Source organism: Homo sapiens, chromosome X (genome assembly GCF_000001405.40).
Source record: "Homo sapiens chromosome X, GRCh38.p14 Primary Assembly".
Classification (NCBI taxonomy): Eukaryota; Metazoa; Chordata; class Mammalia; order Primates; family Hominidae; genus Homo; species Homo sapiens.
Genome location: NC_000023.11, coordinates 102,138,295 through 102,163,427, shown reverse-complemented (window position 1 = coordinate 102,163,427; position 25,133 = coordinate 102,138,295). Strand labels below are relative to the sequence as shown.

Here is a 25,133-nt window from a genome sequence, read left to right as displayed (position 1 = left end):
CTGTGGAATTGTGAGCCAAAGTAAACCTCTTTTTTAATAAATTACTCAGTTTTGGGTATTCCTTTACAGCAACATAAATGGCCTAATACAGAAAATTGGTACTGTGGAGTAGTAGAGCATTCCTATAAAGATACCTGAAAGTGTGGAAGTCACCTTGGAAATATGTAACAAGCAGGGGTTGGAAGAGTTTGGAGGGCTTAGAAGAAGACAGGAAGATGAGGGAAAGTTTGGAACTTCTTAGACACTAGTTAATTGGTTGTGACCAAAATGTTGATAGAAATATGGACAGTGAAGGCCAGGCTGATAAGGTCTGAGATGAACATGAGGAAGTTATTGAGTACTGGAGCAAAGATCACCCTTGTTACATGGTAGCAAAAACTTGGCTGCATTGTGCTTATGCCATAGGGATTGGTGGAAGGTTGAACTTAAGAGTGATGATTTAGGGTATCTGGTGGAAGAAATTTCTAAGCAGCAAAGTGTTCAAGATGTGGCATGGCTGCTTCTAACAGCTTGTGATTTGATTCCAGAGCAAATAAATGACTTAAATTTGGAACTTATATTTAAAAGGAATGCAGAGTGTAAAAATTTGGAAAATTTGCAGCCTGGATATGTGGTAGAGAAGGAAAGAGTATACTCAGGAGAGGAATCCAAGCAGGCTGCTATGGAGCAACCACTTGCTAGATAGATTTACATGACTAAAAGGGAGCCAGGTGCTAATACTGGGGAAAAGGGCTAAAAGCCATTTCAGAAGTTTTTGGGACAGTCCCTTCCATCACAAACCCAGAGGCCTAGGATGAAAGAATGGTTTCAGGGGCTGAGCCCAGTGCCCAACTGCCCCACATAGCCTCAGGACACTGCTCCCTGCATTCAGGACCCTCTGGCTCCAGCCTTGGCTCAAAGGCTCCAGGTACAGCTTAGTCCATTGCTCCAGAGGGCAAAAGTCATAAGCCTTGGTGATTCCTATGTGGTGTTTACCATACAGGTGCATAGAATGTGAGCATGAAGGAGCCTTTGGAGCTTCTACCTAGATTTCAGAGGATGTATAGGAAAGCCTGGGTGCCCAGGCAGAAGTCTGCTGCAGCAGTGGAGCCCCTGCAGAGAGACTCTACTAGGGCAATGCAGAGGGGAAATGTGGGATTGGAGCTCCCACACAGAGTCTCCACCTAGGAACTGGCTACAGGAACTTTAGGAAGGGGGCTGCCACCCTCCATACCTGAGAATGATAGAGCCACTGGCAGCATGCCCGTTGAGCCTAGAAAAGCCATAGGCACTCAACTTCAGACCATGAGAACAGCCATGGAGGTTACACCCTGCAAAGCCAGGGGAAGGGTTGCACAAGCCCTTGGGAGCCCACCCCTTGCACCAGTGTGCCCAGGATGTAGGACATGGAACCAAGGAATATTTTTGGAAATCTGAGGTTAAATGTCCCCTGCTGGGTTTCAGACTTACATGGGAGCTGTTGCTCCTTTCTTTTGGCCAATTTCTCCCTTTGGGAGTGGGAATGTCTACTCAATACCTGTACCACCATTGTACCTTGGGAATAAATAACTTGTATTGATTTCACAGGCTCATAGGCTAAAGGAACTTGCCTTGAGTTTCAGATGAGAATTTGGACTTTGGACTTTGAGTTAATGCTAGAATGAACTAAGACATTTAGGGACTACTGGAAAGGAGTGATTGTATTTTGCAATGTGAAAAGGATATGGTATTTGTGGGGCCAGGGGTGGAATGATATGATTTGGATGTTTTCTCCCCTCCAAATCTCATGTTGAAATGTGATCCCAATGTTAGAGGTTGGGCCTGGTGGGAGAAGTTTGAATAATGGGGGTGGATCTCTCATGAATGACTTTGCGCCATTCTTGCAGTAATGTGTGAGTTTTCAGTCTATTAATTAATGCAAGATTTAGTTTTTTAAAAGAGCCTGGAACTTCCTCCTCCTTCTCTTTCTCCTACTCTCATCATGTGATATGCCTGCTCCCCCTTTACCTTCCACTTCTCTTTCTCCTACTCTCATCATGTGATATGCCTGCTCCCCCTTTAACTTCCACTATGAAAGTAAGCTTCCTGAGGCCCTTACCAGAAGCAGATGCCAGCACCATATTTCCTGTACAATCTGCAGAATTGTGAGCCAAAATAAACCTCTTTTTTTTTTCTTATAAATTAACGAGTCTCAGGTATTCCTTTATAGCAATGCAAATGGACTAATACACCATCCCATGTTTCTGGATCCCAGATTTTTTCGACCTAGGTCATAACATGAATATAACATACCTGTCTTGACTCAGTATTTAAATATCTCTGAAGCTCTGCAACTGTCCCAAGTCTGCTGTTCAACTGTTTCTGCTTTTCCACTGCAGGAAGTACGAGCCTCTTTCTAAGCTACCAGAAAGACTCTTAGATTTTAATACTTAGCTCTAGTTGCTTGGTGATGATCCTCAGTTTTTTGTTTTTGTTTTGTTTTTGTTTTTGTTTGAGACAGAGTCTTGCTGTGTCACCCAGGCTGGAGTGCAGTTGTGCAATCTTGGATCACAGCAACCACCCCCTCCCAGATTCAAGTGATTCTCCTGCCTCAGCCTCCCAAGTAGCTGGGACTACAGGCGCCTGCCACCACACCCGGCTTATTATTATTATTATTATTTTGTATTTTTAGTAGAGACGGGGTCTCACTATGTTAGCCAGGCTGATCTTGAACTCCTGACCTTGTGATCTGCCCGCCTCAGCCTCCCAAAGTGCTGGGATTACAGACGTGAGCCACTGCACCCAGCCCAACCCTCAGTTTTTCATTATATCTCTTCAGAGTAGCAATAAAAATTATCCAACTATTAGCTAGCCTACTTGGCTGCCTGACAGGCATTATTTCTCTCTTATTTTTCAAATGCCTGAATGCTAGCAAGGGTGTTCTCCATCTACAGGATATGTTTCCAGGTCAGGACTGGTGAAATTTTTAGCTATTTGATCACTATCTTGTGCCAGGAACTCTCTGTGTCCACATACCACTCAAGATGTTGTTTTATTTGCCCAGTGGGTAGCGAGTGAGTCAGATCCCAAACTCCACTGTATCATAATTTTTCTTGGACAGCTCCTGTCACCACTTATGTTAGCTCTTATCCTCTTAGAAGTAACAACTCAAATGGGAATAGATGAGCAAGAGTTTAACTGGGGACAACACCTGTGAAGGATAAAGGAGAAGGAGTGGGAGAAGGTGGAGAGAGTGTTCAGATGGTAATGCAGATCTGACATTGGTGAAGGAGAGCAGGGAAAGGAGGAAGATTTGACAGGAAGAGCCCTAGACTGTCACATAATCCTAAGGTTTCAGCTAGGCTGAAGGGGAGCTGTGGAGCCAAAGACTTCAATTACAGAAGCCCTGTAACTTACAGAAATGCAACTGAATAGTGCTAGTTATTGGCAAGGATCAGCCCATGGGATTCATGACCTCAGCATGAATGTGCTAGTGGATTCAGAGGGTCAGCAACTAGAACCATCAATCAACAATACTTCCCACAGCAGGAGATCTAAGTGGTGCATTTTCATGGCGCCAGATTATCTTATAAATTTTTAACTGAGCTAAAAATTCCTGATGTATGGCTGCTCCACCATTTGTGATTACTTCAGTTTTTTCAGTTTATATTAATTAATGATATAATAATATGGACTCAATTGCACTAAATATTTTTAAATGACCATTTGGTCTTCAATTGATTTTCAAATGGTTCAGAAAAAAATAATAATGTATTCTTCAATATGAAGGGAGAATGAGAAAGCAAATATAGCAAAACTGAGAACTGGGAAATGCAGTGAAGGGCATGTGGGGTTTTTCTCAAAAACATTCTATAAGTTTGAAATTATTTCATAATAATTTTTTTAAAAAAAGATCACTTACATAATGATGGGAGATCTTTTTTCTTTGTTTCATTTTGTTTTTTAACTGTGACAGGGTTTCCCAACTCTATCTGATATTAAAAATTATGTCAAAGGAGCTTCTTAAATGCAGGTTTTCACACCTGACTCTAATCTATTAAACTAGGATCTTTAGAGAAAGAGCCTAAAAATCTTAACCCCAAGTGCTTCTTATGATGTGTTAAGTTTAGAAAACATTACCTGGTGACCTTGAGAAGTGTATTTAAATAAAAAATTAAACAAAAGAAAAAATAAAATACAATAATAGTTAAAAAAAATAAACCAGGTGATATGGTTTGGCTGTGTCCCCACCCAAATCTCATCTTGAATTGTAACTCCCACAATTCCCATGTGGAACCCAGTGGGAGGCGATTGAATTACGGGAGTGGGTCTCTTCTGCGCTGTTCTCATGATAGGGAATGAGAATCATGAGATATGATGGTTTTAAAAACGAGAGTTCTCTGCACAGGCTCTCTCTTTGCCTGCCACCATCCGTGTAAGACGTGACTTGCTTCTCCTTGCCTTTCATCTTCCACCATGATTGCAAGGCCTCCCCAGCCCCATGAAAGTAAGTCCAATAAATCTCTTTCTTTTGTAAATTGACCAGTTTCAGGTATGTCTTTATCAGCAGTGTGAAAACGATTAATACGCCAGGCAATATTAAGCATTGGCAGACATGAAAAAGCAGGAATTCTCATACATTATAGATACCAAATTTGGACATTTTTCAGGATTGACTTCTATGACACTGAAAAATATCCACACATATATAGAAACGACTGTTCTAGAAATTTCAAAATTTGATATTAGTATGAAAATTTTATGTACACAGAAGTTCAATCAACATCATCTATGATAATGAACACTACAAACAACCCAAACATCTATAAATATGAAAATGAATATGTGTGTACAATAGCAAAGACTTGGGACCAACCCAATGCCCATCAATGATAGACTGGATAAAGAAAATGTGGCACATATACACCATGGAATACTATGCAGCTATATAAAAGATGAGTTCATGTCCTTTGCAGGGACATGGATGAAGCTGGAAACCATCATTCTCAGCAAACTAACACAGGAACAGAAAAACAAACACCACATGTTCTCACTCATAAGTGGGAGTTGAACAATGAGAACATATGGGCACAGAGAGGGGAACATCACACACTGGGGCCTGTCTGGGGGTGGGGGGGCAAGGGAAGGGATAGCATTAGGAGAAATACCTAATGTAGATGATGAGTTGATGGGTGCGGCAAATCACTCCATGGCACATGTATACTTATGTAACAAACCTGCATATTCTGCGCATGTATCCCAGAACTTAAAGTATAATAATAATAATAATAATAATAATAATAATAATAATAATAAGAAGAAGAAGAAGAAGAAGAAGAAGAAGAAGAAGAAGAAGAAGAAGAAGAAAATGAATATGTGTGTATTATCTTTGTTTTTGAAGGGAGATATTTGGACTGATTTAGAGTAAAATGTGAATAGTATATTTCCTGTAGCGGGGATAAAACTGATATTATCCTTCTACCTTACCTGTGTTTTCTAATTTTGCTGAGGGCTTTTTCTGGTACCTTGGGAACTTGCTCAGCCCAGGTGTAGGACAACTTAAAAGTGCCAGAGATTTTAACATCCTCAGCGTGACATCCACCAATAGAGGGCCAAGTCTGTAGAAAAATACCCCAACTTCTCATCACTAGTTAGGATAATTCTGAGGAGCACTCTAAATCATTTCTGAGACTTGGAGGGTCCCCAGCAGATTTGAGCCAGTTGCCTTTTGGTCTTGTCAGGATCTGGTGCTGTATTTAAAACAACTTTTCCATTCTATTATATAAAAAATAACATGCTAAGTTCTATTTTTAATGGTTTAATGTCTTTTATGCAAACATTTAGTGTCTATTTTTAAGTGTATGAGAATGATAAGGCACTTCATTGTTTTTGAAAATAGTCAATTATCCCGATACAATTTCTTCAATCTAACCTTTCCCCACTGATTCAAAATATTTCAATGCATTTACTAGCATTTTTTCCATATTTGGGTTTGATAATTGAATTTCTTTTCTGGTTCATTTGTTCTAAATTTATTCTGGTACACTATTATCTTAACATTGTAATTTCACAATACTTTTTAAACTTTTATTTTAAGTTCAGGAATACATGTGCAGCTTTGTTATATAGGTAAACTGATCCTCTCCCTCCTCCCATCCTCCACCCTCCTGTAGGCCCCAGTGTTGTTCCCCTCTATGTGTCCATCACAATACATTTTCATCTGTCAGGGTAGCTTCCCCAAATTATTGTCCTGAATCATCAGGGCTAGGTGTTATTGTAAATTGTGGTTACACTAATACAATTTAGAGGAGATCATCAGTTTGTCACAGGTTCTCAAGACATGAAAATCCACCAGAGAGGCTCTATTAGACTCAATGCATCATTTCACGGAAGGACATGTAGAGATCCTTCACGAGAAAATCACTTCTTTCCTTCTTTCCTTCCTCTTTTCTTTTCTTTTCTTCTTCCTTTCTTTCTCTTTCTTTCTTTCTTTCCTTCTTTCTTTCTTTCCTTCTTTCTTTCTTGACAGAGTCTCACTCTATCGCCCAGGCTTGGTGTGCAATGGTGCTACCTCGGCTCACTACAACCTCTGCCGCCCAGGTTCAAGCAATTCTCCTGCCTCAGCCTCCCGAGTAGCTGGGATTACAGGCGCCTGCCACCACGCCCAGCTACTTTTTGTATTTTTAGTAGAGACGGGGTTTCACCATCTTGGCCAGGCTGGTCTTGAACTACTGACCCCGTGATCCACCCACCTCGGCCTCCCAAAGTGCTAGGATCACAGGCACGAGCCACCGCTCCCGGCCTTATTTCAAAGTCCTTAAAGGAGGCAGGGGAATGCTTTCTGGAAGGTTTATATTTATAATATGATTCAGCAGGAGAAACAGATTGCCATGTTTTTACAACTCGAATCCTGTTTTTTCAACTGAAAATAATTGTATTGTCTAGTTATAAAAACAACAACAAAATGAATGCATGCTGATGAAAAATAAAAGGAACCCCCTTCCCAAATAAACAAACAAAAAGGAAAGTAGTTGAAGTGAAAAAAAAATTTGAATACCACTTCCTGCCTATTTTCCAGACTTCCTAGCCTCTCGCTCCCCACCCCTTCTCCGGGTTCCAATCTGGGACCAAGCCCTACAAGACTGTTAGGGCTTTACTTGCTGGACGTGAAGGGGAGAGAAGTGTGCGTTTAGGTGTATAGAAGAGGAAGAAGCGATTTTTTAAAAGCTCCAGCAGAAACCAGAGCAAGCCAAATACAAAATATTATGACCCGTTTGGTCGTGGGGATCGCTAAATAAAAAAATAGAGGGGTGGATAGTAGCCTGTGGTAGTGGTGGAGAAAGCACGAATGAAGAGAAAGGTGGCCCCGCCCACAGTCCCGCCCCCACCCTCCTGCCGCACTGCGGGTGTGAATGGTAATTGGAAATCTGAGCTCACAGTGACGTGACCCTTAGGAGACCCAGAGCCAATGCGTGGATTAGTCCCTCCTCCTAGTTGCAGTCTGGTAGTTGTCGCTGGCCGTGTGACGGCTCGCTGTTGCCCTGAAGGCAGGCGAGCCAGCTGCCCAGGAAAGGTGGAAAGTGGTAGAAGCTGACCCCTGAGCCCTGGCAGGTAGGTGGCGCTGACCGGTGTGTGAGCAGCAGAGGGCAAAGACCAGAGCGGGTCTAGGACTGGATACACACCCTTTCCAGATACACACCCGTTTAGTGCGAGAAATGGAGCGGTTGGGGAGAGGATCTCCCGAGGGGGCTGGATTGAGAATGGGTACCATTTGAGATCTCCTAGGAGGCCGGCCATCGGGCAATGTCTGATGGAGTCCAGCCGGTGGAGGAGACTGAAAGGAAACAGCCTGCTTCCTGCAGGTCCGCGGGAGGGAGGTACAGCCGGCAACCAAGGGTTGGGGAGGGCGGACCCTGCCAAGGTTTTAGGCCTGCCTTCTAGGTATCTTTTCTTCACCCTCTACCCATTTAGAGCTGGAAATGATAGGCTGCGGGGGCCGAGGAGAGGAATTGCTGCAGAGGAGGGGGACAGAGATTAGGTCTGGAAAGCAGGTCCCTATTGCGGCAGTTGAGCGGGCGAGCTTCTGACTGAGGGACAGAGGCGAGGAGCGAGAAACTGTTTTTGGTCTCAGCAGGTCGGTCGGTGTAAGCGTGGGCGCTACCTGTAGATCCTGGAGTGAGAATGACAAAGCGCAGAGACCGCAGCAGGTCCTAGTTTTCAATGCCCACATACCTCTTCACTCATCGTCCATCTTGATGCATAAAATGGTGGGCATGGGAGTGGGGATCGGGTGGAGAGAGGGCCTGATGGATATCTAGATTGAAATTCTTTGTGAATAAACTACGTATTCATTCAGCAAGCTCTTCTAACTCCCCCGCCAGGCAAGTTGCCTGCGTTGCAGAAAGGGTAACTAGATGACAGGTAAGAGGAAACAGTAGAGATGGGCGCCTAAAGAAGAGGTTAAAACGTTTTGGAAATAATCATCTTTGATGCCTATTTCTGGAAGGTGGGATAGCCTGTCACAGGGTGGGAAAAGAAGCCGTGAGACAGGATGGAGGAGAAACAGAAGGTGCTAATACTAGGAGAACCCTAAATCAACTCCCATTACCGGTCCTTTGATTAAAAGATCAGTCCTGGTAATTGTCACATTTGTCTGCAGGTCTTTAAGTGCGTTTGTGCAGCCGATTTCAAGGCTAAGAGAGAAAGACTGCCTCTGATCCCTGAAGGTAGGAGGTTGCCTGGGGCCCTCTGGTGTAGGGGTATCAAGGATCAGAGCAGAATCTGGGTGACTCACAGCCCTTCCTGCCCGAGTTGAGTGCAGGAGAAACTTAGGAGAGTCTTCATAAAATGACAGCCTGTATCTGATGAGGGAAGAAGGGAGTAGAGGGGCGAGATCTGGGGCGCTCCTGGAGAGCTTATTAGGATCCCAGGGAGGTGAAGTCTGGTCTCTCTATGATCGTCCCCCTCCGCTAAGTCGTCTTGCATTTTGGCGGTAGGAGTGGCCTGGGGAAGGGATTTTCAGGGAAAATGATGGGCTTTGGGGCAGCGCTGGGTCTGGGGCGCCCCCTACAGGGTTCATAAAGTTTCTCAGGTGGGAAAACCTTTGCCAAACAGAGCTCTGAATCCTATCAAGCATTCATTCCCTCTTCTTGCTTTTTATCTTCTAGGAAGAAAAAAAAAAAAAAAACAGGAAAAAAACTCAACATGGAAAATGTCCCCAAGGAAAACAAAGTTGTGGAGAAGGCCCCAGTGCAGAATGAAGCCCCCGCTTTAGGAGGTGGTGAATACCAGGAGCCTGGAGGAAATGTTAAAGGGGTTTGGGCTCCACCTGCCCCGGGTTTTGGAGAGGATGTGCCCAATAGGCTTGTCGATAACATTGATATGATAGATGGAGATGGAGATGATATGGAACGGTTCATGGAGGAGATGAGAGAGCTAAGGAGGAAAATTAGGGAACTTCAGTTGAGGTACAGTCTGCGCATTCTTATAGGGGACCCTCCTCACCATGATCATCATGATGAGTTTTGCCTTATGCCTTGAATCTTGAGGTTAATAATCATAAAATCCCTGCTTTCTAAATTCGCATTTTTCCTGGTGTACCTTTAATGTGAACCTTTTGGCATTCTTCTGCAATTTTCTGATTGGAGATTGCATTTTGACCTAGTCTGTAAGTTTTTCTGTCAGAAGAGGACTTTCATCAACTTTCATGGAAAGATGTTTATTGCATACTGTAAAGTTAATAAAGCAATTTAAAAGCAGTCTACAGATAGACTATTTCATTTAGATGTGTACGTATGCACACTATATATAATATATATGAAATATATATATATATATATATATATATATATATATATATATATGAATGAATGAAAACCAGAATGTGCTTTTTCTATGTTGTATAGTTACTGGTACTTTTAAATTTCTTTATTTTTTTCTTGGTTATCCACTTTTTCTCACTTTTCCAAAATGAATACATGTGTTTCCTATGTTTCAGGGAAAAAAAAAGTAAGAAGCAAGGAACTTGCCAATCAACTTATATAGGAAATGGGGGCAATTAATAAACACTTGAAACACAGTTTAAAGACATATAAATCTTATATTACCTATGGATCTCTCATTTAGAAACATGTACCTGATAATTACAGGTACGTTACATTATAAATGCCTTAGACGGCTGCTGTGGGAATCAAATGAGGTGATGACTGAGCTCTGTGTCTTGCTCTATTTATACATGCAAGGCTCCAGCCCTCTAAGTGCCCTTCATATTTAGGGAAGATTCCAAGGAGAGTGCCTATCAGCAAGTCCAGTTGATTTCCAGGTGAGTACGGGTTCAAAATCCATTATCCGAAATGCTTGGGACTAGCATTTCAGATTTCAGATTTCTGGGGTTTTTTTTCTGTTTTTGAAGCATTTGCATGTACATAAAGAGCTGTCTTGAGGATGAAACCCAACTCTAAACATGAAATTTATTTAATTTTATATACACCTCAAACACATAGCCTGAAGGTAATTTTATACAATATTTTTAATAATTTTGTGTGTGAAACAAAGTTTGCGTATATGAAGTCAGGTGTGGAATTTTCCATTTGTAGCATCATGTCATGTTCAAAAAGCCTTGGATTTTGGAGCACTTCGATTTTGGATTTTTGGATTAGGGATGCTCAACTGTAAATGCTTTTCTATTCATCTGCTACTCTGGCTTTCTTTCCTGCATAATACCATAACTATTAGGCACATCTTCCTCTTCTCTTGCGTTTTGCTCCCTCCACTGGCTTCTACCACTGCAGATGTACTGGACTTCTAAAGATGACAAAGACCCACCGATTTCTCTGGAACCTTCAGTAATCCGAATCCCCATTTTGCCTTTTCAAAAATGTATAGAGTGTCCCTCCCTGCTTTAGAGTTATAATTAAACCAGGCAGATACTTCACCAACACTGCTTATAAATGCAAGCAGCCCTTTATGGTTTTCTCCCACTTCCTTCCTCATCCCCTTCTCCCAGACAAATTTGAGTGACACTCATGATAGTGTGCTCAGAATTGGACTATCTCTTCCATCCTCTGATGAATATAGCTTAGTCTCCTTGACTATCAATTTTCTGTGCAGACATTGCTACAGGTTTCATTCTGCACATACACAGGAGTTGTAGGGATAATTTTATGTTCCCAAGACTGTTCTGGTTCACACCACCCTGACCTCAGGAGTCCCCAGTAGTCTACACTAACTTACACGGATCCAGATACGTTTCCCTCTTCCTTTGCTTTGAGATTTCTGTGCCAAATAAACCCGTAATTACAGATTGATGGGAAATAATGGCAGGAACTGGGGATCTGGTAGGTGAATCCCAATTTTAAAACATTGTTCACAGTCATCACTGTTCCCCACTAAACTGTGTCCTTCTCACAGTAAATATTTTGTCTCATTTATACTGGTACCCTTAGTGTTTAGTACAGGGCCTGATAAGTTGTAGGGCACAACAGTTAATTATAGCTGAGTTGAATCCTGCAATCTGGACCCAGGGTTGCTTCTGATTATTTATGGGCAAGTGCTTCTTTTCCCTACACACTGTAGCTTGCAATTAAAAAGGAACACAGCAGAAGAAGCATTATACGCCAATTTCCAAAAAAAATGCACTTATCATAACATTATATATGTCAGTGTTTATCAGCATGTGCTATATAGACCAGCTGCATCAAAATTGCCTGAAGAACTGGCTAAAAATTCAGAAAAAAATGTGTTTCAGTCCATACTCACTGTACCATAGTTAATCAGACATCTCTGGACTTACATAAATTAAAGTGGAGGCCCCAGCTTTAGTCAATCTCAGACACCCCTCTCCCCACCTTATATTTTATAGAAATGGGTGGTTAGTTGATTGGTAGATCTGAGACCTGTGAAAACACTACATAGAATTTAATTAATCTATATACATCAGGCATTATTTTCCCATCAGACGGTGCCCTTCTTAAAGAGACAACTACTTTTTATTTTTTAATGCTATTGTCTTTACTGCATAAGTTCTCAATCCTTGCTTCAGATTTGAAATACCTGAGGATACTTTAAAGTGGAGCTCAGTACCCAATTCCAACCAGTTGAGTCAGACTCATTAAAAGTGAGACCAACAGATCCTTAGTGTGAAAGATCCCGTGGTGATTCCGATGTAGAGTAGAGTTGAGAAGTGAGTGAAATTTGTGGCTAAAATATCTTTGGCTTATTTTCTCTGTACTATCCCTGATTGTGTTACCCTAAGCAGGTTAATTTGTTTATATAGAATTTATATCTTGTGAAAGAAATACCCTAGGGGAGGAATTATACCCCCAAATCACAAAAACATCCTTTTAAGAAAATATTTGCCAGTGTTCGTCCAGCTTCGCTAGCCTATCAAATACTTCAGAATTCCACTTGGAGCTTGTTTAAAATACATAATTCTGGCACCATCCAAAATCCACTCTTTGGCAATGGTACTCAGGTAGCTACATTGTTAACAATCTTTAGGTGATTCTGATGCACATTAGAGTTTGTTGGATCACTTGTGCGTACATTTTTATCCAGATTATGTTAAAAACAAACCAATAAAATAACTAAAATAAAATATAAATGTTCGCCCAAATTCAGGGAAAGGAGTAGCAAGGAGAAGATGTATATGGGCACAAAAAATAATATAAAAAGCTAAAATAAAAATTTTAAAACATTAAATCATAAAGGGAAAGATTGACATTCACCATGTAAAAAATATTAAATCTTCTGCAAAGTAAAGCAAGACTGTAAATAAAGTTCAAGGAACTTCAAGGAATTTCAGTTAGAAAGGAATATGTTCACTAAATCAATTATACCATGGTGACTATAGTTAATAACATAATATTGTCTACTTGAAGTTGCTAGGAGAGTAGACTTTAAGTGTTCTCACCACAAAAATTGATTAGTATGTGAGTTAATGCATGTATTATATTGCTTAATTCAGTACTTCCACAATGTATAAGGATATGAAAACATCATTTTGTGCACCATAAATATATACAATTTTTACTTCTCAACTAAAAACGTAAATTAAAATAGAAGATGAGACGAAGAGCAAAGGCAGCCATCAGCAAGCCAAAAAGAAAGGCCTCAGGAGAAACCAAGCCTGCTGACACCATGATCTTGAACTTCCAGCCTCCAGAACTGTGAAAAATAAACTTCTACTATTTAAACCACCCAGTATGTGGCATTTTGTTATAGCAGTCCTAGTAGACTGATAGAAGATATAACACATATTGGTGGTTATCAAGGACTAGGGGAGACAGTAACGATCAAAAACTGCTTTGTGGGTGAGGGGTTTTACTTTGGGGTGATGGAAATGGTTTGGAACTAGATAGAGGTGGTAGTTGCACAACATTGTGAATGTGGTAAATGTCATTGCATTGTTCACTTTAAAGTAGTTAAGTTTTCGGATATTTTTAATTGTGGAAAAATATACATAATATAAAGTTTACACCTCAGCCATTTGTAAATGTACAATTTATTGGTATTAAGTACATTCATTCTGTTTTAGAATCATCACCGGCATTCATCTCCAGAAATTTTGTGTCATTACAAACTGAAACCCTGTACTCATAAACAATAACTTCCTAGTCCCCATTTTCCTCTCCCTATGTCCCCTGGTAACCACTGTTCTACTTTCTGTCTATATGAATTTGACTTTTCTAGGTATCTCATATAAATGGAATCATACAGTATGTGCCCTTTGATGTCCGGCTTCTTTCACCTAGTATAATGTTTTTAAGGTTCACTAATTTTTTAGCATGTAGCAGAACTTTATTCCTTTCTAAAGCTGACTAATATTCTTTTGTATGTACATATAACATATTGTTAATCCACTCATCTCTTGATGTACACTTGGCTTGCTTCCACCTTTTAGCTGCTGTTGATAATACTGCTAGGAACACGGGTGTATAAATACCTGTTCCAGAGTCTGCTTTCAATTATTTTTGGCATATACCCAGAAATGAAATATAGTGATTTTATGTTAATTTTTTGAAGAAAGGCCATAATGTTTTCCCTAGTGGCTGTATAATTTTACATTCCTACCAGCAGTGTGTGAGGGTTCTAATTTCTCCACACCCTACTTGCCTTAGTCCATTTCGTGTTGCTAAAACAGAATACCTGAGGATGGGTAATTTATAAAGAAAAGAGGTTTATTTAGCTCATGGTTTTGTGGGCTGGGAAATATAAGAAGCATGGCACCCACATCTGCTCTTCCTCTATTGTAAGCCATGAATTAGATCAAAACATTGCAGAGAAGTTCAAAGGGAAAGCAGAGATGTGCAAAGAGATAAAACACAAGGAGTGTCCTGGCTTTACAACAACCCACTTTCCAGGGAACTAACCCATTCCAGTGATAACTAATCCAGTCTCATCAGAGTGTAAACTCACTAACTACCTCCAGAGTAGCACCAAGCCATTCATGAGTGATCCATCCCCATGATCCAGACATCTACCACTAGGCCTCATGTTCCAACACCACCACAATGGGGATGAAATATCAACATATATTTTGGTGGGAACAAACTTAGACCATAGCACTCACCAATGCTTATTTTTTTGATAACAATGATCCTAATGGGCATGAAGTGGTATCTCACTGGGCTTTTGATTTACATTTCCTTAATGATTAGTGATGTTGGGCATCTTTTCATGTGCTTATTGGCCACTTGTATATCTTTGGAGAAATGTTGATTCAATTTATTTGCCCATTCTTAAATTGGGTTCTATGTGGTTTTTTTTGTTGTTGTCACTGACTTATGAAAGTTTTAAAATATGTTCTGGATTTTAATCCCTCTTCAGATATAGACCTGCAAATATTTCCTTTTGTCCTGTAAGTTGCATTTTCATTCTCTTGACACTGTCCTGTGATGCACAAAAGTGTTAAATATTGATCAATTTCTATTTTTTTTTACCTATACTTTGTGTGTCATATTGAAGAAGCAACAGCCAAGACCAATGTCATCAAGCTTTCTCCTATTTTTCTCTAAGGTTTTCATAGTTTTAGATTTTACATTAAGGTCTTTAATCAACTTTTAGTTAATTTTTATAAATGATATGAGATAATAGTACAAGTTCATTCTTTTGCATGAGAATATCCAACTTTTCCAGTATCATTTGTGGAAAAGACTACCTTTTCTCCATTGAACGGAAAACAACTGTAATGAAAAACTTGTTAGAGCAGCTCAATAATGAGTCTGAAGTGAACGAAGAGAGAATCAGTGAGCTTGAGGATAGATAAATGAAGATTATGAGTATAAGGAACAAAAAAACAAAGAAAAATGGAGAAAAATATAGAGACATTAGAGAACCATGGCACACCATCAAGCGTACAAGCATAGGCACGAAGGGAATTCCATAAAGAGGGGAAAAAGAAAAGTTTCAGGAAAATGTATTTGAAGAAATAATGACAAAATACTTTTTGAACTTGATGGAAAGCACGAATCTACAGCTGACTTTTTATCAGAAATCATGGAGGCCAGAAGACAGTAAGATGACATTTTCAGAAAGTTGAAGGAAAAAGACTTAACTAACACTTCTTAGTCTGGAAACTCTCCTTAAAACTTTAAGGATAAATTAAGACACTCTCAAATAACAAACAGTGAGTAATTTTTAATCAGCAGCACTGTCCTACAATAAATACCAATGAGTCTTTCATGCTGAAATTAGAAAACACTAAATGGTAACATGAATCCACATGAAGAAATAAAGAACACTAGTAAGGTAACTAAATAGGTAAATATAAAAGACAGTGTGGTAGACAGAATAGTGGGTTTCCAAAAGTTATGCATGTCCAAACCCCTGGAACCTGTGAATGTTACTTTTTATGCCAAAAAGAGACTTTGAAGATGTTATTAGGTATCTTGAGATGTTATTAAGTGTCTTAATTATCCTGAATTATCTAGGTGGGCCCTAAATGCAATCACAAGTGTTCTTATAAGGAGACACAGGGAAATTTGACACAAAGGAGAAAGAAAGGTATGTGATGATGGAAGCAGAGAGACATTTGAAGATACTATGCTGCTGGCTTTTAAGATGAATGAAGGGGACGTAAGCCAAGGAATACAAGAAATTCAGCTCCAGAAGTTGAAAAAAATAAGGCAGTGGATACCTGCTGACTCTGGTTAAAACCCCATGAAGGCATTTTAATTTCTTACTTCTAGCATTGTAAGAGAATAAGTTTTTCCTATTTTAAGCCACTAAGTTTGTGGTAATTGTTACAGCAACAATAGGAAATAAATACAAATAGTTATAAACGTATATTTGTCTGTAACTCATTTTTCTCTTATTAGATTAGAAAGAAAACTTGATAAAACAATAATTACAAAACAGATATAATGGCTAAGATGTAATTTCTATGACACTCTTCCTAAATCACAAAGGAGGAAAGAGGAAATGGAGATAGTTTTGCATCCCATTAAAATTATTGATACAAATTCACTTGTTTTAAATTAATATACTAATTTTAATCCCTAGGCCAACTACACAAGAAAATTATTCAAAAACTTTGTACAAGAAAAAGGAGAATTAAAATGGTAGGCCAAAAAAATATCCTTTTAAAAGTAATTCAATAATGGAGAAATAGAGGAACAAAAACACACAACAAATGGAAAACAAATAGCAAAACAGCAAATGTAAATATCACCTTATCATTATTGCATTAAATATAAGTTGATTAAACACTTCAGTCAAAAGGCAGAAAGTAGCAGAATGGGTAAAAAAAAAAAAGCATGATACAACTATACACTATCTAAAAGAGAATATATTTAAATAAGCAAATAAAATTAATGTGAAAGGATGGAAAATATATACTATGCAAAGAATAACCAAAAGAGTCAGATGAAAAAGACATTAAGACAAAAAATGTTATCGTAGAATAAAAACGTGTTATATAACAAGTCCTATCCTTCAGGACTATACAAAAATTATAAACATATATGAACATAAAACAGATTTCCAAAATACATAAAGCAAAAACTTACAGAATAGAAGGAAAAAATTAGAAGAGAATCAAGATAATTTAACAATAGTAATTGGAGACTTCAAAACCACACATTCAAAAATAAATGAAACAAATAAGAATATCAACAAGGAAACAGAAGACTTAAACAAAACTACAAAACCAACTGGAATAACAGACATGTATAGAACACTCCAAACAGCATAAGCATACACATTCTTGTCAAGCACCCATGGAACATTTTCCTGGAAAGACTACATAATAAATAATAAAATCCTATATACACTTAAAAGTATTGAAATTATAAAAATAATATTCCATGATCATAATGGAATTAAATTTGTAATCAACAACATAAAGAAATTCAAAAACCCTGCAAATATGTGGAAATTAAACAATGTACTTCAATTCAACCTGAAATATCATGAGAGAAATTGGAAAATACTTTAAAAACAAAAAAAAACCCCACAACACATCAAAAGTTATGGGATATAGTTAAGCAGCATTTAGATGGAAATGTGTAACAGTAAATGTTTACTTTGAAAAGATGAAAATCCCATATCAGTAAACTTTCATCTTAAAAAGCTACAGAAAGAAGAGCAACTTAAATCAAAGAAATCAGAAGGAAGGGAATAGTAACCACTAGAGTGGAAATAAATGAATTACAGAATAGAACATCAATGAAACTAAAAGTTTGTTCTTTGAAAATATATATAAAACCTGACAAAACTTTAGCTACACTCACCAATAAAAAATGATGAAGACTGAAACTATTAAAATCAGGAATAAAAGAGGGGTCATCATTAGCAACTCTACAGATATATAAAAAAAGATTATAAGGTAATACTATTAACAACTGCATGACAAAAAAATGAGACAAGGTAGATGAATGGGATGAATTCCAAAAAAGACACAACCTACCCAATTGACTTAAAAAGAAATAGAAACACAAGTAACATCATTAAAAATGGTAGTGTATGGAACTCCGGAACTCCATAATGAGCAATTAGTGAGCTGGCAAAAACTGCTACCATCAGCTTTCTCAGAACTCTGGAATCCAGTCAAAAAATTATAACAATGAGAGGAAAATTTGGTGAAGAATAAAAGCTGCTAATTTGTGGTAAGAAAGAAATTTTCAATTGCCTATCTACCATTCTCTATGCCCCAGATTAGCAGTGATCTGTTGATGATAGCCCACTATCCTGGTTTAGATAGCTAGTACCAGTGGTAGGAATTTGGACCGTATTCTCATAGAAGTGTGGTATGGCTATCAGCCTGCCTGGCAGCACTTTCATCACTAAGGCTTCTTTCATTACACCAGACTGGGAGGACTCCCAGGGCTTGGGCTGCATTGGCTCTCCAGTTGGCTTTTGCCAGAAGCATTTAAAATCACAGGTATTGACCAAAGAAGTCTGGAGCAAAGGACAACACTCAGAATAAGCAATGAACAGACCGAGAAGCCTGAGAAGGAAGAGTTAGGGAAACAAGATATGTGGAAGAACAAGCATTTTAAAAAACCCTTTATATATACTGGAAAATCAAGAAGGCCATGTGTATGCCAAGGGTGGGACACATACTCAGAAAAGACCAGAGAAAATGCAAGCATTCAACTTCATTGAATTTGAGCTTCAGGCTCTGCATAAGAAAAATGCAAAGCATTAAAAAGGTACTCCAACTCAGAGTTCATCTGCAAAGACTGGGAAATTTGTTTTGTTTTGTTTTGTTTTTGAGATGGAGCCTCACTCTCTAGCCCAAGCTGGAGTACAGTGGCATGATATCCGCTCACTGCAACCTTCGCCTCTGGGGCTCAAGTGATTCTCCTGTCTCAGCCTCCCAAGTAGCTGGGACTAGAGACGTGCGCCACCACACCTGGTAAATTTTTTTGTATTTTTAGTAGAGACGGGGTTTCACCATGTTGCCCTGGGTGGTCTTGAACTCCTGAGCCCAGGCGATCCACCTGCCTCGGCCTCCCCAAGTGCTGGGATTACAGGTGTGAGCCACCGCGCCAGGCCAGGAAATTATTTTTTTATTTATTGTTTTTCTTTTGTTGGCTTTAGGTACTTAGAGTAACGGCATCCAAACACCAGCTGATTAATAAGCTAATAAAACACAGACTTCAGTGGCCACACATGACAAAGAATACATAATTTGCTAAAATACTTTAAAAAGTCACTAAGTAAACAATAACCCACGAGAGAGTAACAACAAAACCCAAGGAAGAGGGAAAATCTAATTTCCAGAGTCAACATATTAGAATCAAAATATACAGATTTCAACAAAACTTTGTGAGGCATATAAGGAAATAAGAAAACATAGCCCATACACAGGAAAGAAATAATTAGATACTATCATGAAAAAGCCCGTGTATTAGAATATCTAGAAAATATTTTTAATCAACTGTCTTATATATGCTCGAAGAACTAAAGGAAATCGTAAACAAAGGACTAAAGAAAAAGAGAAGAATGTCTCAGCAAATACACAATATCAGTAAAGATGTAAAAATACAAAGAGATGTAGAAATTATAAAATAAATAGAAATTCTTTATTTGAAAAGTACAATAACTAAAAGTCACTAGAGGGGTACAACAGTAGGTTTGGGCAGGCAAAAGAATCAGTGAACTTAAAATAGGTCAATTGAGATTATTCAGTCCGAGGAGCAGAAAAATAAAAGTAATGTGAAAAATGAACAGAGCACACCTATGCATGATGGGGGTTCAACAAGGAGAGAAACAGAATAGAGAAGAAAGAATTTTCAAAGGAAAAATGACTGCAAATTACTCAAACTTGAGGAAAGACACTAATCGATGTATCCAAGAAGTTCAATACACTCCAAACAGGATAATCTGAAAGAGATCCAAACAAAAACATGTTATAAGTATCTTGTCAAAACCCAAATATATGACACTACACTGTAGTGACAAGAATATTAAAAATTTTCTAGTTCTTTGGGTTCAGTGGTGGTTTCACAAATGTGAAAGAGAAAAACAATGGAAGGAAAGTAAACAGTTATTAGCAATTTTCTAGTTCTTTGGGTTTAGTGGTGGTTTCACAAATGTGAAAGAGAAAAACAATGGAACGAAAGTAAACAGTGGGGGAAAAGAAGGGAAAGCAGGGGAGAGAAGAGTAGTCAATGAGAAGAGCATGTTGTGAACCAAGGGTTATGATGAATTTGTGGATCTGCAGTTCATATTAAAAACGTTTGAATGCTTTCCTTTCTAGCTGTCTGACATTCTCTTTCTATGAAAACTGGTCAACTGTTGGAAGGTAACTTTCAAGTGTGGAGAAAGGCCAATGGAGATTATAAGAAGGAAGTTGGTAAATCAATTTGGGGTACATGGGCTTTTGAAATCAATTTGTGGTACAGGGTTTTTACATACCGTGTCCCTCAGGGATACTCAGGCGGTGATGTCCAATAAACAGTTGGCAAAGCTGATATGAGACACGGAGAAGGGAACAGCCTGGAGCTGTAGATCTGGGAGTCATCGGTGTTTACTGGAAATGAATGAGATCACACAGGGAGAGACAACTTGAGGACTGAGGAGAGAGGAGGCCCAGGACAGAACCCCAGGAACACCGCCACTCAAGGTGGCAGCTCAGCTTCCTGGCAGGCACCACTACCCCCCGGGCTCTGGAGTCAGGCAGAGCCGGTATTGAAAGTGGGCTGTGGAGTTCTGGGGCTAAGCGCTCTTGGCAAAGTCGGGTACCCTCTCTGATCAGCTGTCACACCTGGCGATAATGGGCATCAGAGAGAGATGCCTTGCGAGGATGCTGTGAGCTGCGTCAGGTAAAGCACCTGAGATCAGAAAGCCACCCCCTCCTCCTCTTCTTCTTGATGACCCCCACTCCTTTGTTACACACACCCTCTCCCACCTTCCGCAACCTCCTGGTCCCTCGGGGATGGATGGTGAGGTGGGCGGGAAGGGGGTGGTGGTGGCCTAGCTCCCGTGACGCGGTGCTCACGTGAGTGACCAGGCGCCTACGTGGGCACCAGCCCCCGCGCCCGCCCGCCCGCCCAGCGGTCCGGTCCAGGCGCCCGCGCAGAATCAGCTGTCTGAGCTGCCCAGGCGGCGGGGGAGCAGCGAGCGGGCTTCAGCGAGCCGCAGGAGGCACAGGCCTGTCCTGGGTCCCCGCAGGTCAGTGTGAAGGCGTGCGCTGCCGGCGGACCCTGGGACAGGGGTGGAGGGGGCTGGCAGTAGGATTGGGGAGGGGGCGGAGAAGGGATCCGGTAGATTGGGGAGGAGGGGGATGCTGAGCGGGCCGGGGCGGGGGCAGGGGAGGGAGCACCCCGAAGCGAACCTGGCTCGCCTTCTCGACGCCCCTTGCACTGAGCCCTCCATCCATTTTAGTGCTGGAAATGGGGGGCTGGGGGTAGCGACCCCGCAGTGCGACAGTGAAACACAGACTTATTCTGGAAATAACCCCCTCTCACAATCCGCTCCCATGGAAACATCTGACCTCCGCAAAAACGGGGTGGCGCTGAGACAGGTTGCCTCCGGGGGAAGGGGCACAAAGAGGCAAACGCAGTTTGGAAGCATCCTGGTTTGGTGCCCGAGGCCTGGAAAGAAATGGCGGCTGGGGTGCGGGGGAGGTAGGGGAGGAAAACATTGGGTGAGCAGGGCCTAGACTCAGAAAAGGGAACGGAGTCCCTGTGAGCCCGCTGAGCGCGCAGCCCCTACCCCTGTCTCCTGTCTGTCCGCAGGTCTGCGCGTCTGTTGTTCCCAGCGCTCTTGGAGGCCTGCAAAGGAAGAGCAACCTGTCCAGACTCCCCGCAGGTCCGTGAAAGCAGGGGGCTGCATGGACAGGGGCCCACAAGGGTTGAGAGTGTGGAGGGCCCGGCCAAGGCCAAATTGGGACCCCTGCACATAACCCCACCCACGTGAACACACACCTTACCAGGCTGAATCAGTTCAGAGAAGGTGGCAGGGCCTGCCAGGGTATGGCTGGCTCACGTGTGTGGGAGGAGTGGTGGGCTACGTGCTGGGCAGAAGGCCCTCTTGGAGGCCCGGCCAGCTTAGGGGAACCCTCACCAGGGGTGAGATGCAAGTAGTATCCAGACCTGCATTCCACCCCATGCCCTCAGTCTCCCATGTCTCTTATTTGTCTCCTCTTCCCTCCACTGTCATCCCCCAGGACAGGAAAAAGAGAAATCTCGACATGGAAAAACCCTACAATAAAAATGAAGGAAACCTGGAAAACGAGGGAAAGCCAGAAGATGAAGTAGAGCCTGATGATGAAGGAAAGTCAGACGAGGAAGAAAAGCCAGACGCGGAGGGGAAGACAGAATGCGAGGGAAAGCGAAAGGCTGAGGGAGAGCCAGGTGATGAGGGACAACTGGAAGATAAGGGAAGCCAGGAAAAGCAGGGCAAGTCCGAAGGTGAGGGCAAGCCACAAGGCGAGGGCAAGCCAGCCTCCCAGGCAAAGCCAGAGGGCCAGCCGCGGGCCGCCGAAAAGCGCCCGGCTGGAGATTATGTGCCCCGGAAAGCAAAAAGAAAAACAGACAGGGGGACGGACGATTCCCCCAAGGACTCTCAGGAGGACTTACAGGAAAGGCATCTGAGCAGTGAGGAGATGATGAGAGAATGTGGAGATGTGTCAAGGGCTCAGGAGGAGCTAAGGAAAAAACAGAAAATGGGTGGTTTTCATTGGATGCAAAGAGATGTACAGGATCCATTCGCCCAAGGGGACAACGGGGTGTCAGGGGAGTGAGGGGTGGAGGTAGGGGCCAAAGAGGCTTACACGATATCCCATACCTTTAATGCCTTTGGCCTTCCATTCTGACTTCTCTGATGAGATTATTGTCAACCCTGCTTTCCCTGGTAGATATTTGCCAGGCCCAATGCTTTAACCTTAAGCTGATATTTTTGCTTTAGATGTCAATCTCGTTACCAGCAGCCTTTTGACCCAACTACAGCGCTCTATATTTTAGTAGAGGATTTTCACCCATGTGCATGGAAAAGATGTTCATGACACATTGTAAAAAATAAATAAATAAAGAACAGTTTGCAGAACCTCGTATACGGTTATCAGCCAATATTTATAAAAATGTAAATGTTTGTATAATGCATTTCTGCGCAAAGAAAACCCTGAAAGCATGTACACTAAAAAGCAGGCAATGGTTATTCCTGAAGGGTAGCCAAGAATAGGTCTCACCTGTATTCAAAAATGAGTCCTACCACCTCTTGTATGTACCTCCATGATATTCCTCTGCTGCTGTGCACATCCCTATGTCTTCCCTAGGTCGAGCCAGGTCAGTGGGCACTGTTGCTAGGTCCTCTATCATGTTCCTGGGTCTTCTAACATGAGTGCTGGGTCTGCATACTCAGACCCATACTAAAATATAATACTAAATATTTGTCATACTGAAAAATAAATAAAAGCTGAATACAATACATACTAAGAAATTGAACTGTTTGGTGCGCTTACAAAGGCAATAAAGACACTCAGAATTCCTGTTATCAGAACATAAGATGACAGGTAAAATTCATATTATCTCTGGGACTAAAAGCTAAAGGAATCAACCTGGAAATTCTAACAGATCTATTGCTGTAAGAGTCAATCTTGTCATTTGTAAAATAAGGGTAATACTTGCCTCACAGGACTGCCTGGTGGATCAGATGAGATACTAAGTATGTGAGCTGTGTTGTGACCTGGTCCCCACTAGGCACTCAGGGGAGGAATGGCTCCTAAACTATTCCCATACAGTGGCAGGAAAGTCGATGGAATCAGACACATTGGAGGAGGACTGAGGGAGTTCTCACCATGTCTAGGAATATTTCCAGGCAGCTAAGAAGTAGATGCCACTCTCTCCTGGATACTTCCATGTCTGCTGGGCACTATGCCCTTTTTCCCGGGTCCTGCACCCTTTACTGATAGAGGATTTATGGTGTCAAAGCCCTGTCATTTTCTCTGGAGTCACTGGTGAGCAATGTCCACCAACCCATGACCCCCGTAGAAGTGGATAAAGCCCTCTCTCCACTTTATAGTTACAGTAACCAGGTACACATGGATATCACCTTGGTGCTGCTTGGGCCTCTCATTAATATCTTCCAAATTCTTTTTGCCAAAATAATCATTTATGTGTATTCCTTATTTCTTTGTTTTGCATACATAAATATTGTCCTCACAAAACTGAGATATTGCAGGCTAGGCCAGGAAAAAATACCTGCATGATAGTGGTTGTGCTGTTCTCATGGGTTAATATCTTGTCTGCAGATGCTCTTTTCTCTGTTGAGTTCACTCTCAGGAAACTTGTCAGGTAACACTTTAGCAGTTCGGCAGACCCATCAATACATTTGAGTTTTAAATCCTTTGTAATGAACATGTTGTGGTCCATGAAAAAGCTGCATAGTCATCACCTGGGGAACTAATTAGAAACGCAGAATCTCAGGTCTTGCCTCAGACCTAATAAGTTAGAATCTTCATTTTAACAAGATCCCAAGAAGATTCCTATGCACATTGAAGTTTGAGAAGCACTGGCTTAGAAAGAGACCCTTCAGGCTCCCCACTCCCACCTTTACATAAAATATGTGCCTAAAAATATAAATATATGTGCTATATAAGACACACATCACAGATTATTAAATAAGCCCATGTTTTTCAAAATGAAGTTGTCCTTCCCCCATGAAAAGTAGATCTTGAAATCAATTCAATGGGTCAAGATAGGTAATTTTTTAAAAATGAAATAGGATAGAATAGACTTGAATACAGCCAAACAGAAAATATCAAATAGCAAATAGCATTGTAAATAGACTGAATATTTTTTGTGAAATTTGTGTTTCAGTTACGTACGTATGTATGTGTGTGCACCATGAGTTATGATGAAAATAAATTTCTGACTGTGGGCTGCAGCAAAAAAATTGAGAAAGACTGCACTGGATTCTGCATCTCAAAGTATGGCATGTCCATTTTATATTTGTATTGCTAGTGCCCAACACAAGTAACTGACAAGTAGTAAGCACTTAATAAAAATGTAAATAATAATGACTGAGACTCCAAGTTTAGCCTCTGTCTACCTAAATAACTTTGGACAAATAACTTAAATTGTCTAACAGGATTTACTTACATTCTCCAAAGTAATGAGGAGTAATGGGCTTTACAGGCTGTATAGGACCTTCTATATATAGCAGAATATCAGCAGAGATATTAGTTCACTATATATAGTTCACAGTAAAAGCTTCGCTTACTAAAGAAC

At 40.8% G+C, this 25,133-nt stretch overlaps 2 protein-coding genes and 1 long non-coding RNA gene across 5 annotated transcripts, besides 1 other annotated feature; 2 read left to right on the top strand and 1 right to left on the bottom strand.

The window, feature by feature from the left end:
- Positions 7,451 to 9,716, top strand: BEX5 (brain expressed X-linked 5). Of its 2 annotated transcripts, none has more exons than NM_001012978.3 (3): positions 7,451 to 7,569; positions 8,618 to 8,684; positions 9,126 to 9,716. In NM_001012978.3, exon 3 carries the CDS (start codon positions 9,163 to 9,165, stop codon positions 9,496 to 9,498), a length of 336 nt encoding a protein of 111 aa, NP_001012996.1. In that variant the 5' UTR covers positions 7,451 to 7,569; positions 8,618 to 8,684; positions 9,126 to 9,162; the 3' UTR covers positions 9,499 to 9,716. The 2 variants fall into 2 exon arrangements, with proteins under 2 accessions (NP_001012996.1, NP_001153032.1); NM_001159560.2 differs by lacking the exon at positions 7,451 to 7,569 and adding an exon at positions 7,638 to 7,835.
- Positions 7,495 to 7,634: an enhancer, noted in NCBI's record as "active region_29813". NCBI's record gives its function as "activates an Ori minimal core promoter by ATAC-STARR-seq in GM12878 lymphoblastoid cells {active_cell/tissue: GM12878}" and the evidence as "EXISTENCE:reporter gene assay evidence [ECO:0000049][PMID:35858748]".
- A 9,746-nt stretch (positions 9,717 to 19,462) lies between the features above and the next one.
- On the bottom strand, positions 19,463 to 21,700 carry LOC105373299 (uncharacterized). 2 transcript variants are annotated; one of them, XR_007068283.1, is made up of 3 exons: positions 21,619 to 21,700; positions 20,320 to 20,434; positions 19,463 to 19,785 (listed from the first exon to the last, which is right to left on the bottom strand). It is a non-coding gene; the product is annotated as an uncharacterized LOC105373299 (long non-coding RNA). The 2 variants fall into 2 exon arrangements; XR_007068282.1 differs by lacking the exon at positions 21,619 to 21,700 and adding an exon at positions 20,813 to 20,853.
- TCEAL6 (transcription elongation factor A like 6) lies at positions 20,947 to 24,926 on the top strand. The gene is made up of 3 exons (NM_001006938.3): positions 20,947 to 21,075; positions 21,642 to 21,714; positions 22,073 to 24,926. The coding sequence occupies exon 3, from the start codon at positions 22,097 to 22,099 to the stop codon at positions 22,646 to 22,648; it is 552 nt and encodes a 183-aa protein (NP_001006939.2). The 5' UTR covers positions 20,947 to 21,075; positions 21,642 to 21,714; positions 22,073 to 22,096; the 3' UTR covers positions 22,649 to 24,926.
- Positions 24,927 to 25,133: the final 207 nt, after the last annotated feature.